At 45.5% G+C, this 13,781-nt stretch overlaps 1 protein-coding gene across 3 annotated transcripts in view, besides 2 other annotated features; it reads right to left on the minus strand.

Moving 5' to 3' along the window:
• METTL16 (methyltransferase 16, RNA N6-adenosine) overlaps positions 1 to 2,432 on the minus strand; it is a 96,174-nt gene extending 93,742 nt beyond the window's left edge. For all 3 annotated transcript variants that reach the window (XR_007065448.1, XM_047436697.1, NM_024086.4), the window contains exon 1: positions 2,303 to 2,432. The gene's annotated coding sequence lies outside the window, so the exon portion shown is untranslated. The remainder of the gene's footprint in view (positions 1 to 2,302) is intronic.
• Positions 2,303 to 2,512: an enhancer, noted in NCBI's record as "active region_11495". NCBI's record gives its function as "activates an Ori minimal core promoter by ATAC-STARR-seq in GM12878 lymphoblastoid cells {active_cell/tissue: GM12878}" and the evidence as "EXISTENCE:reporter gene assay evidence [ECO:0000049][PMID:35858748]".
• Positions 2,583 to 2,632: an enhancer, noted in NCBI's record as "active region_11496". NCBI's record gives its function as "activates an Ori minimal core promoter by ATAC-STARR-seq in GM12878 lymphoblastoid cells {active_cell/tissue: GM12878}" and the evidence as "EXISTENCE:reporter gene assay evidence [ECO:0000049][PMID:35858748]".

Below are 13,781 nucleotides of genomic sequence, written 5' to 3' on the forward strand. Positions count from 1 at the left end.
TGCCTGTGTTCCTAGCTACTAGGGATGCCAAGGATAGCTTGAGCCCAGGAGTTCCAGTCCAGCCTGGGCCACACAGTGAGACCCTGTCTCAAAATAAACAAATACAAATAATAGACTTTATTAAAAAGAAAATATCCAAAATTAAAGTGTTGGCCGGGCACAGTCGCTCACGACTATAATCCCAACACTTTCGGAGGCCAAGACTGGAGGATCACCTGAGGTCAGGAGTTTGTGAGACCAGCCTGGCCAACATGGAGACCATCCTGGCCAACATAGTGAAACCCTATCTCTACTAAAAATACAAAAATTAGCTGGGTGTGGTGGCATGTGCCTGAAGTCCCAGCTACTTGGGAGGCTGAGGCAGGAGAATCACTTGAATTCAGGAGGCCGAAGTTGCAGTGAGCCAAGATCACGCCACTGCACTCCAGCCTGGTGACAGAGCAACACTCCGTCTCAAAAAAAAAAAAAAAATTAGCTGGGCGTGGTGGTGGGTGCCTGTAATCCCAGCTACTCGGGAGGCTGAGGCAGGAGAATCACTTGAACCCAGGAGGTGGAGGTTGCAGTGAGCCAAGATCGTGCTACTGCACTCCAGCCTTGGTGACAGTGAAACTGTCTCAAAAAAAAAAAAGAAAAAGAAAATGTTCTTTCTTGTGATTCTGGCAAGCAACAAAAAAAAGTAAACTAAGAGTAATTTCTTTAAACTGATGGAAAATATTTTCCCAATTTATGGGGGACATGTGACATTTATGCGGTATTTGTTCCACGCATAGAATGTGTGCTGATCAAGTCAGAGTATATGGGGTATTCACCACTTTGAGTATTTTTTATATCTATGTATTGGTAACATTTCAAGCCCTCTCCTAGCTATTTTGAAATATACATTGTTGCTGACTTTAGTCACCATATCCTAACAGTGACTTCAAGAGACAGTGGCATGTTAGGGCTCTGCCACACATTAAGGAAAATTCTACAGACTACATAGCTGACATCAGTGCACACACAACATAATACTCTGAATATATGTGAAACAAATTAAATTACAGACATGGCAGATTCGATTCATTTCCTACATTATTCAACTTTTCTGGTCAGAACAGATACAGAATGAGTAAATACAACCACTTCTTTTCTAACTAACCTCCCAATATAGGCAATGAGTTCTTAGCTAAATATAACCTATTCTTCAGAGTTTAACTGGGCATCAATTCTTTTTTTTTTCTTCTTGTTGAGACAAGGTCTTCCATTCTGTTGCCCAGAGTGCAATGATGGAATCATAGCTCCCTGCAGCCTCCAACTCCTGAGATCAAGCAATCCTCCCGCCTGAGCCTCCCAAGCAGCTGGGACTACAGGTACAGAGCACTGCACCTGGTTAATTTACTTCATTTTTTGTAGAAAGGGAGTCTGGCTTTGCTACCCAGGCTCTAGCTTCAATTTTCTACACAGAATTTACCCATCTGGCATTCCATATATTTTACTTACTTTAAAAAATCTCCCGTCAGTAAGTTTCAAGAGGGTAAATATTTTGTCTGTCTTGTTCACCGCATATCCCAACGCCTAAAATAGGGCCTAAGAGAGTAGGCACTCAAGTATTTGTTGATTGAAACCACGATAGAACTCTTCCCTGTCTGGACCACCGACACAAAGCACCCTCACTGAGTTTCAAAAAAAGCTCAGCCCATGGACTGGAACTTTTCTTCCCGGTTACTTGAGTCAGTCCAGAAAGCCACAGTTAATAGTAGAACCCTGAGAATGAGGCTTTCCCTTTTTTTTTTTTTCTTTCTCATCTCCATGCTTCTGTTTCCTTGGTTCCTCTTGACCATTAACCCTCTTCAACTACCACTCTCTTGATACACAGCCTGTAAAACAGTCTAAATTCCAATTTCAGAACTTCAAATTCTTTCTGCACAGATCCCTCCCACTTCCACACCAATCTACATCTTCTCTCTTCGCCTTCTCTCATAAATCCGACGTTTCCCACTAGTCCTGCCACTGCCGTTCTTTCCATGCCCTCATTTTATCAGCTCAGTTTGTCTTCCCGCCTCAGTTTTGGATCTCTCTAAACCTCCTAAACACCGGGGAGTCTTTCCTACTTCAGTCCTAGTCTCTATTCTATTCGCCAACTCCTCCCACTCATCCACTCTCAACACCCCCGCGTGCGCACACACAGCCACATCAGGTCTCCCCTCCTAGACCCCGAAGTCGGCACCTCACTAGCCCAAAACTCAAGAATGAGGAACCCGTGTGATCCACGGGTTAAGTGACCCATGATAGTAAATCTGCGTGAGAGATATAAGTGACCCACCTCTGAGGCCGAGGTTCCTGCCAGACGTCGTGTCTGGCGTGGGCCTGTACAACCCTAGAATCTTAAAGCAGCCGCATAGCGAAGCTCCTAGAAACGCAGATGATACGCTCCCAGCGCGCCGCCATCTTGTGAAGCCATCTAGCCTCGTGATTGGACACATCCCTCTCGCGCGACCTGTGGCTGATCTTGAAGAAAGAAGAAACCCTCGCGACACCTGGGGTTTGCTGCTCCTAACAGAAGGCGCGGGGGCGTGGTGACGAGCGGAGTCCTTTGAGGTATGGCAGGAGGAGGACATGCGTTCGAATTCGCGAGAAAACTTATTTAAAAGAAAAAGAAACAAGTTTTCCGGGCCCTGCTGCAGACTTACCTCTCACACTCACTGGGATTGGGCAGGTTATGAAGATGAGGGTACGAGACTTGGGTGTGATGGCGTGCAGTGAGCCCTTTTTGTGCAACAGGTGTGTCCTCAGCCGATGTCTCACTCACTGAATTGTAAGAGATATAAGCCTGTGGGTTGGGGAAGAGTACTCTCGTTTACAGCGAAAGAACTGAGGATCCGGCCGGACGCGGCGGCTCACGCTTGTAATCCCAGCACTTTGGGAGGCTGAGGCGGGCAGATCACCTGAGGTCAGGAGTTCAAGACCAGCCTGGACAACATGGTGAAACCCCGTCTCTACTAAAAATACAAAAATTAGCCGGGCGTGGTGGCGGGCGCCTGTAATCCCAGCTACTCGGGAGGCTGAGGCAGGAGAATCGCTTGAATCCGGGAAGCGGAGGTTGCAGTGAGCCAAGATCGCACCACTGCACTCCAGCCTGAGCGAAAGAGCAAGACTCTGTCTCAAAAAAAAAAAAAAAAGGGGGGGCCTGCCTACGTCCTCGTCGTTAATGTGAACGCTTCTGGCAAACTATTACCATAAAATTGGGAGATAGTAAGGATTAAGGAATGGAGACTTATACACAAGTGAGTACCAGTAGTCACCCAAGGAAAGCTGAGGAGGTGTTTTCATAATCTGTTGTGTAACAAACCGCCCCAAAACGTAAGACTTAAAACAACCACCATTTTACTTGCTCACAGTTCTGCAATCTGGGCTGGGATTAGCCCACCCGTTCTGCTGGTCTTGCCAGTGGTCATAGCAACAAGTGGGGGCTGGTTCCGCTGAAAGAACTGGGTCTCTCTCCCTGTAGTCCAAGTTCTCTCCCTGTCCACGTGGCCTTTCCATGTAATTTGTCTAGCAGAGTAGGATGACATTTTTTTTTTCCCCCGAGATGGAGTTTCTTATTGCCCAGGCTGGAGTGCAATGGCGCCATCTCGGCTCACTGCATGCAACCTCTGCCTCCTGGGTTCAAGCGATTTTCTTGCCTCAGCCTCCCAAGTAGCTGAGTAGCTGAGATTACAGGCGCCCGCCACCATGCCCAGCTAATTTTTTGTATTTTTAGTAGAGACGGGGTTTCATCCTGTTGGCCAGGCTGGTCTCAAACTCCTGACCTCAGATGATCCACCCGCCTCGGCCTCCCAAAGTACTGAGATTACAGGCATGAGCCATCGTGCCCCGCCAGAATACTTCTTACATGTTGGCTCGGGGCTCCCAAAAGGGCAAAAGTGGAAGCTGCCAGGCCTTCTTAAAGCGTAGGTGCAGAACTAGCACCTTGGCTATATTCTTGGTTAAAGCAAGTAGAAGGGCTAGCCCCAATTCAAGGGGAGGGGACTATGCCAGGGTCCCTTCCAATACTGGAAGGCATGGTTCATTTCAGCAACCAATGTAACATATTACCACAGAAAGTTTTCCATCTTTGGTTGGTAGTGGCTTTGATACTAGTTATGGCATTTTATTTAGTGCATGCTGCTGGAAAGGTAAAAGAAAAGATGGCCTCGGAGATAGGACTGGTGGGGTTGAAGTGATTGTATTTAAGATATTGGTAACTTTCTGTTAGCTCCAAAGAGCAACCCAGTTTACCTGTAGGTCGGGCCAGAGAGACCCTAGTAGCACTGCAGCTGGGAAACCTGGCCTTTAATCCTGCCCCCACCATTTACTAACCCTGTGAGTATGGGCAATTTGCTTAAACACTTGAAGGCTTAGTTTGCTCAATATTACAAAATAGGATAATAATCTCATGGGGTTGTGAGAATTAAATCAGATAATGCATATAAAACAGCAGAATGTCTAGTATATAGTGAGTTCCTAATAATAATAATATTGTTCCTTATAACTTCTCTGGTCAGTTTTTTTTAAGTATTCCATAAAGATAAAACATTTTAATAACTGAAAATTTTTAAATAATTTAAATAATACATAAAGATATCAGAAAGACAAAAATTATCTAAAATCTCACCACTCACAGCCAAGCACCATCAAATTTGGGTAACCTTACTACTAAACCTCTATATCTCATAAGGATATATAACCAAATAATTTTTATACAAATAATAATATATATTTGTATATATATGTAATTACATATATATACACACACACACATGCACATATACTCAAATATAACTCTTGGAGATTCTTCCACTTCCAACAATATAGCTCTTTATTGTTCTTTGTGATAGGTGCACAGTATTCCATTGAATGCATATAACACTTTTTTTTTTTTTTTTGAGACAGAGTCTCTCTGTCGCCCAGGCTGGAGTGCAGTGGCGTGATCTCGGCTCACTGCAACCTCCACCTCCTAGGTTCAAGCGATTCTTCTGCCTCAGCCTCCCGAGTAGCTGGGATTACAGGTGCCCACCACCACGCCTGGCTAATTTTTTTGTATTTTTAGTAGAGACAGGGTTTCACCATGTTGGCCAGGTTGGTCTCGAACTCCTGACTTCGTGATCCACTCGCCTCGGCCTCCCAGAGGGCTGGGATTATAGGCCTGGGCCACCGCACCCAGCTGGATATACCACTTTTTAAAAAACTAATTCGTGCCCAGGTTGGGTTGGCCAGACCTATAATCCCAGCACTCTGAGAGGCGAAGGCAGGTGGGTCACTTGAGGTCAGGAGTTTGAGACCAGCCTGGCCAACATAGTCAAACCCCGTCTCCATTAAAAATACAAAAATTAGCTGGGCGTGGTGGCGGGCACCTGCAATCCCAGCTACTCGGGAGGCTGAGGCAGGAAAATCGCTTAAACCCGGGAGGCAGAGGTTGCAGTGAGCCGAGATCGCGCCATTGCACTCCAGCCTGGGCAACAGAGTAAGACTCCATCTCAAAAACAAACAAACAAACAAACAAACAAACAACAACAAAAAAAAAACTAATTCCCCTGTGGATGGACATAGGTTCTTTCCAATGTATCTGGTATGACCTATTCCCAAATATTGTGGTACAATGATAAATACATATCCTTGAAAACTTTTTTATATAAAATGAAAATTATCTGGAGACTCCACAGAATAGATTAACAACATCTGCCTTTTTCCAAATTTACCCTGAAATGTCCAAGGATGTAATTGGTCAGAGAAGTCTCTCAAACTTCCATACCACAGCAAGGACAGTGCAGATGTCCAATTAGCCAGTTACATCCTTTGCTACCTCTTTGTAGCAGGAAACTGATTCTGCACATCCAGTGAATAATGCTGCTAATTATGAAATGTTGCCTAGCAAGTTATCAGAGCTGCTTTCAGCATCAGCTGCCTACTGGACTGGAATCAATCCTTGAGGGCATCAGACTGGACTCCCTCTTGACTGAAATTAATTATTTCAAGGACTTTGTGGCCCTTCCCTGTCACTGTCCTTTGGCCACAGCCAGCCTGTCAACAGCCACAGGTCTCTCTAACTTTGTATTTCAGAAAGTAATCATTGAGTATCAATTTCTTCTAGCTTAGAAGACTCTAGCTTCCTTATGTAAATGTATCCACCTCCTTCTTAGGGACCAAGTTTACATATCAGGGATCTAATAGCCATTATAGTTGTCACAAAAGCTATATCCAGGCAGGTGCAGTGGCTTACACCTGTAATCCCAGCACTTTCGGAGGCTGAGGAGGGTGGATCACCTGTGGTCATGAGTTCTAGACTAGCCTGGCCAACATGATGAAACCCCGTCTCTATTAAAAATACAAAAAATTAGTCAGGCGGGGTGGTAGATGGCTGTAATCCCAGCTACTTGGGAGGCTGAGGCAGGAGAATCACTTGAACCCAGGAGGCAGAGATTGCAGTGAACTGAGATCACGCCACTGCATTCCAGCCTGGGCAACAGCAAGAGTCCATGACAAAAAAAAAAAAAAAAAAAAAAAGATATCCTGTTACAGAACAATTATTTTTTCTCAGCTTACATTTACATAACTGAGAGAGCCACTGAAGTGATCCTCTGCACTAAGGATACCACATTTTCTTTTTCATTTCTTTACGGTTTTTGAGACAGGATCTCATTCTGTCACCCAGGCTGGAGTGTAGCGTCATGATCACAGCTCACTGTAGACTCGACTACCTGGGCTCTTGAATCCGGGAGGCAGAGGTTGCAGTTAGCCAAGATCACGCCATTGCACTCCCCCCTGGGCAACAGAGGGAGACTCCGTCTCAAAAAATAAAATAAATAAATGAATAATGATAGCTGGTGGAAGAACTGGATATAAATGTACATCTTACTACTGCCCTGCTTCCTGTTCCAAGTCTCATAAAACAGAACATACTCATTTTAAAAATTAAACAGTAAATTTCAAATCGAGCTGAAAATTCAGAATTAGTGTTATTGACACACCAGAAAATTTGAGGATACTCTGAAAAAATACAGGGTGAATAGGAAGACCATCTAAAATGCCAAGAAGTTTTATAGGAAGCTTAAGATGATTATAACATTTAGCTGGAAAACAAAATGTGCAAGAATAGCCAATAATGATGTTTTCCACTTGGAAAAAAATTAAAATTACACCATACATAAAATAATCCCATATGGATTAAGAAACAAAATAATCATAAAAACCAAAAAAAATTGACCAGGTACGATAGCTCATTCCTATAATCCCAGCACCTTGGAAGGCTGAGGCAGGTAGGTTCGCTTGAGCCCAGGAGTTTGAGCCCTGCCTAGGAAGCCAACATGGCAAAACCCCATTTCTACAAAAAATACAAAAATTAGCCGGGTGTGGTGGTGTGGGAAGCCAACATGGCAAAACCCCATTTCTACAAAAAATAAAAAAATTAGCCGGGTGTGGTGGTGTGGGAAGCCAACATGACAAAACCCCATTTCTACAAAAAATACAAAAATTAGCCGGGTGTGGTGGTGTGTGCCTATAGTCCCAGCTACTTGAGGGGCTGAGGCAGGAGGATTGCTTGAGCCGAAGAGGTCGAGGCCACAGTGAGCCATGTTCATGCCACTGCATTCCAACCTGGGTGACAAAGCGGGACCCTGTCTCAAAAAAAAAAAAAAAAAAAGGAAATCTATATCTACTGACACAGAAAATTTCCAAGATATGGAATAAGGTAAAAGGAAATTGTGAAACAGTAGGTTCAGTTTGATATTGTTTATATAAAGTAAAACCAGAACACATTTCAATATGAAAATATAAAGCATAAAAGTAGCCGTAGAAAAAGATCTGAAAGGAAAAACCCAGACTGAGAACAGCGTTACCTTAGGGAAACCTCAGGAAAACTGAGTTGGAATGTTAGAAGTGGGACATGAGAGTCTTTAATTTTGTCTATATCATTTGAATGTCTTACAATGATAATGGATTCATACATCATTTGTATGATTTAAAAAAAAATGATTTAAAATAAGAAAAAGAAGAGAAAATCAAATTTGTCAAAAAAAAAAAAAAAAAACCACACACACACACACAGCCTGACACTTATGCAGGAAAAGACAGTTTGGAGGGGAAGCAAAGCCTCCTGTGGCCTCAGCAGCTGCTCAGGACAGCCATCCTCCATGTGACGATTCTATGATCCACATAGCCACAGTCTGCGGCACCACCATGTCAACATGGGCTTCCAGGACCCCTGCAAAAAGGAGAGAGAGAGGATGGCTTTTCAGAGCTTCCACTCGGAAGTGAGACGCATCATTGACAACCAAATCAACTCAGATGTCCCCACCTAACTTGGGGTGGGGAAGAGGGCAGGCCTGCAGTCCCTCCATGTGCTCAAAATACTGCTGAAGAGTGATGGTGTTCACTACACACACCTCATCCACAAGCACCACAGACAGACAAAACAGAATCAAAATGTAGACGAATAGGGATTATACTCTAAAATGAGCAATTCCTCAAAAAATTAAAAATAGGATTACCCTGTGATCTGGCAATTCCACTTCTAGGTATATAGCCCCCAAAACTGAAGGCAGGATCTCGCCTACCATCACACCTGCCTAATTTTTTGTATTTTTAGTAGAGACGGGGTTTCACCGTGTTAGCTGGGATGGTCTTGATCTCCTGACCTTGTGATCCGCCTGCCTGGGCCTCCCAAAGTGCTGGGATTACAGGCGTGAGCCACCGCACCTGGCCTCCATGTCAGCCTCTTAAGTAGCTACGACTACAGGTGCACACCATCACATCCAGCGAATTAAAAAAAAAAAATTTTTTTTTTTTTTTTTTTTTTTAGAGACAGAGTCTTGCTATGTTGCCCAGGCTAGTCTTGAACTCTTGGCCTAGAGCGATCCTTCCTTCCAGCTGGGCCTCCCAAAATGCTGGGATTACAGATGTGAGCCACCACACCCAGCATGAATACCTTTTTTTTTTTTTTGAGATGGAGTCTCACTCTGTCACCCAGGCTGGAGAGCAGTGGCATGATCTCAGCTCACGGCAACCTCCGCCTCCTGGGTTCAAGCAATTCTCCTATCTCAGTCCTCTGAGTAGCCACCACACCTGGCTGATTTTTGTATTTTTAGTAGACACGGGTTTTTACCATGTTGGCCAGAGTGCTCTCCTGACCTCAGGTGATCCGCCTGCCTGCCTTGGCCTCCCAAAGTGCTGGGATTACAGGCATGAGCCACTGCGGCCGGCCCGCGTGAATACCATTTTTAACACATCGATTTGAATCGTCCTGTTGGTAATTCATGTACTTCCCACATATGCTTGAGTTTATTTCTAGACTTGTTTCATTGATCTGTCAGCTTATTTCTATACATGTACACATTTGTTTTAATTAGTGTAGCTTTCTATTACTATGCAGTATAATATAACATAAGGCCCCTATGTTAATCTTGTTTTTCAGAATTTGCCTGACTCACATGTCCATGCAATAAACTCCAGAACCATTTTATTAAGTTTTCTACAAAAATCCTTTTGGGATTTTTTTATTGTTATTACATTTTATATAGATAGATGAATTTTGAGAGGATTGGCATTTCTTCAATATTGACTCTCCTACTCATATTTAATAAGACTTCATCCTAGAATACAAGACCATTCACAGCAGTTCCAATCTACCTTTTCCTTCGGCGTTTAACTACCTTCCAGCCAAATTCACTATGATCTGGTCTCTGAACATATTCTGTGTTCTTTTCTGCATCTCTCTTCACCCAAACTAGTCTCTCTTTCTGAAACATCCTCCTCCTCTTCTTCCCACAGTTTCCTGGCCGGGCACGGTGGCTCATGCCTGTAATCCCAGCACTTTGGGAGGCCGAGGCAGGCAGATCATGAGGTCAGGAGATGGAGACCACCCTGGCTAATATGGTGAAATCCCGTCTCTACTAAAAATACAAAAAATTAGCTGGGCGTGGTGGTGCACGCCTGTAATCCCAGCTACTCGGGAGGCTGAGGCAGGAGAATCACTTGAACCCAGGAGGCAGAGGTTGCAGTGAGCCGAGATCATGCCACTGTGCCACTGTACTCCAGCCTGGGAAACAGAGTGAGACTCTGTCTCAAAAAAAAAAAAAAAAAAAAAAAAAATATATATATATATATATCCTCCTCCTCTTCTTCCCAGTTTCCTTTTTTTTTTTTTTTTTAATGAGACAGAGTCTCCTCTGTGGCCCAGGCTGGAATGTAGCAGTGCAATCTCAACTCACTGCAACCTCTGCCTCCCAGGCTCAAGTGATTCTCCTGCTTCAGCCTCCTGAGTAGCTAGCTGGGATTACAGGTGCCCGCCTCCCTGCCCGGCTTTTTTTTTTTTTTAAAGAGATGGGGTTTCACCATGTTGAACAGGCTCAAATTCCTGACCTGAAGTGATCTGCCCACCTTGGACCCCCAAAGTGCTGGAATTACAGGTGTGAGCCACCATGTCCAGCCTCCTTCCCACAATTTCTACTGTCCCACAGCCTACATATACTTTCATGTCTCATTACAAATTGCCACTTAACCCATAAAGCCTTCTTCATTCTTCCATCCAGATGTAACCTCTAGCTCCGTTGAAGCCCCATAGCATTTGTTTCGTCACTTTCTTAGGGTACTCACTCAAATTTGCCCTCTGAATAGTTATTTGCGTTTCTTTTATTGGCCCACAATCAACAACAGTTCTGTATTACAGCAACAGGTCTCAACTAGGAGTTCACGTCAGAATCTTGGAAGACCTTTTTAAAAAATCCAAATGCTAGCCAGGCGCAGTGGCTCACGCCTGTAATCCCAGCACTTTGGGAAGCTTAGGCGGGTGGGTCACCTGAGGCCAGGAGTTCGAGACCAGCCTGACCAAAATGGAGAAAACCCCATCTCTACTAAAAATACAAAATTAGCCTGGTGTGGTGGCACATGCCTGTAATCCCAGCTACTGGGGAGGCTGAGGCAGGAGACTCGCTTGAACCCGGGAGGCGGAGGTTGCGGTGAGCCCCGACATCGCGCCACTGCACTCTAGCCTGGGCAACAAAAGCAAAACTCCGCCAAAAAAAAAAATCCCCACAGGTTGTCTGTGAACCTCTGGTTGAAACACTGTTTTATTTATTTATTTATTTATTTATTTATTTATTTATTTATTTATTTTTGAAACAGTCTCACTCTGTCGCCCAGGCCAGAGTGCAGTGGCACGATCTCGGCTCACTGCAAGCTCCGCCTCCCGGGTTCACACTGTTCTCCTGCCTCAGCCTCCCCAGTAGCTGGGACTGCAAGTGCTCGCCACTGCACCCGGCTAATTTTTTGTACTTTTAGTAGAGACGGGGTTTCACCGTAGTGTTGTTCTCCTGACCTCGTGATCCGCCCACCTCCGCCTCCCAAAGTGCTGGGATTACAGGGGTGAGCCACCGCGCCCGGCCCGTGTTTTATTTATCTCTTGAGACAGGGTCTGGCTCCGTTGTCCAGGTTGGAGTGCAGTGGCGCAATCTTGGCTCACTGCAACCTCTGCCTTTCTGCAACTTCGACTTCCCTGGGCTCAAGCCATTCTCCCACCTCAGGCTCCCAGGTAGCTGGGACTACAGGCACCCACCATCACACCCTGCTAATTTTTATATGTTTTGTAGAGACGGGGTTTCACCATGTTGCCCAGGCTGGTCTCAAACTCCTGGACTCAAGTGATCCACCCACCTTGGCGTCCCAAAGCGGTGGGATTACAGGCGTGAGCCACCGCGCCCGGACATCAAGCCACTTCTAATAGCTGCACAGCATTCCACTGGAAAGATGAGCCATTACATATTTTACCAGGCTTCTACTAGCAAGCAGCTGTTTTTAGTTTCTTTCTACTATAAACAATGCTGGGATACACATCTTGTACCTGCGGATCCTACAATTTAAGGGGTCAGCGGAAGTAAGGGAAGCATCAGGGGAAAATGGGATTCAACTTGTCCCTTACGGAGGAGAGTGTCTGAAGCTGCTTAGAGATGACCTTGGCCTGACCTCCTTGATGGCAGTGCTTAGAGCAGTAGCCCTCAAATCTCAATGTGAAGATCACTTGGGGAGCTAATTAAACAGCAGGTTCCTAAGTCGCACTCCAGAGAATCAGGTTCAGTCTGGGGCAAGGTCTGAGAATACGCTTTTTTTTTTTTTTTTTTTTTTTTGAGACAGTCTTACTCTGTTGCCCAGGCTGGAGTGCAGTGCTGTGATCTCTGCTCACTGCAAGCTCTGCCTCCCGGGTTCAAGCGATTCTCCTGCCTCAGGCTCCCAAGCAGCTGGGACTACAGGCATAAGCCACCATGCCCAGCTAATTTTTGTATTTTTAGTAGAGATGGGGTTTCACCATATTGGCCAGGCTGGTCTAGAACTCCTGACCTCGTGATCTGCCCACCTCGGCCTCCCAAAGTGCTAGGATTACAGGTGTGAGCCCCCGTGCCCAGCTGGGAATCTGCTTTTTTTTTTTTTTTTTTTGAGGCAGAGTTTCACTCTTGTTGCCCAGGCTGGAGTGCAATGGTGCAATCTTGGCTCACCGCAACCGCAACCTCCCAGGTTCAAGCGATTTTCCTGCCTTGGCCTCCCAAGTGGCTGGGATTACAGGCATATGCCACCATACCTGGCTAATTTTTCTATTTTTAGTAGAGATGAGGTTTCGCCATGTTGGTCAGGCTGCTCTCAAACTCCCGACCTCAGGTGATCTGCCCACCTCGGCCTCCCAAAGTGCTAGGATTATAGGCGTGAGCCACTGCGCCCAGCCAAGAATCTGCAATTTTAACAACACGTCAGCTGATTCTAATGTAAGTGGCTGTGTGCCACACTTGGAGAAACACTGACTTCAAGAGTAGAGGGAAGTAAACAGTGTTCACCTGAGAAGCAGGAGAGGCTGTCGGGGGTCGGATAGGACAGACAGTTACTTAGGCATCTTCAATCATTCCCAGAGGATCAGGCCGTAGTGTGCTTTGGGGTGGAACAGAACTATGAATAACAAATCCACCAGCTGGCTTCCATTCTCTAAGAAAGTCCAGGGATTCTCAGAGTCACATAGAAAGACCCCAAGTCCCCTAGTCTCTCCCTAATCTGGCAATTCCTCCCCTCCCTTGTCCTCCATGTCATTCAGTTAGGACTATAGGACTACAGGACTAGAAGTAGCTCAGCATGTTCACTGGAGCATTAAAAAGTCCACTAGTGGCTGGGCGAAGTGGCTCATGCCTGTAATCCCAGCACTTTGGGAGGCCAAGGCGGGCGGATCACCTGAGGTTGGAGTTCAAGACCAGCCTGACCAACATGGAGAAACACCGTTTCTCCCACCTCAGCCTCCTGAGTAGCTGGGACCACACGTGCACACCAGCACACCTGGCTAATTTTTGTACTTTTTTTTTTTTTTTAGACAGAGTTTCCTCTGTCACCCAGACTGGAGTGCAGTGGCATGATATTGGCTCACTGCAACCTCCGCCTCCCGGGTTCAAGCAATTCTCCTGCCTCAGCCTCCTGAGTAGCTGGGATTACAGGCACGCACCACTGTGCCTGGTTAGTTTTTGTATTTTTAGTAGAGGCGGGGTTTCACCATGTTGGCCAGGCTGGTCTTGAACTTTTGACCTTGAGTGATCCACCGCCTCGACCTCCCAAAATTCTGGGATTAGAGGCATCAGCCACCAAGCCCGGCCTTTACTTTTTGTCGAGACAGAGTCTCACTTTGTTGCCCAGGCTGGTCTCAAACTTCTGGGCTCAAGCGATCCTCCCACCTCAGCCTCCCAAATTGCTGGGATTACAGGCAGAAGCATTATTTAAACAGCAAAAATCTGGAAAAGAATTCC

Source organism: Homo sapiens, chromosome 17, assembly GCF_000001405.40.
Source record: "Homo sapiens chromosome 17, GRCh38.p14 Primary Assembly".
Taxonomy (NCBI): domain Eukaryota; kingdom Metazoa; phylum Chordata; class Mammalia; order Primates; family Hominidae; genus Homo; species Homo sapiens.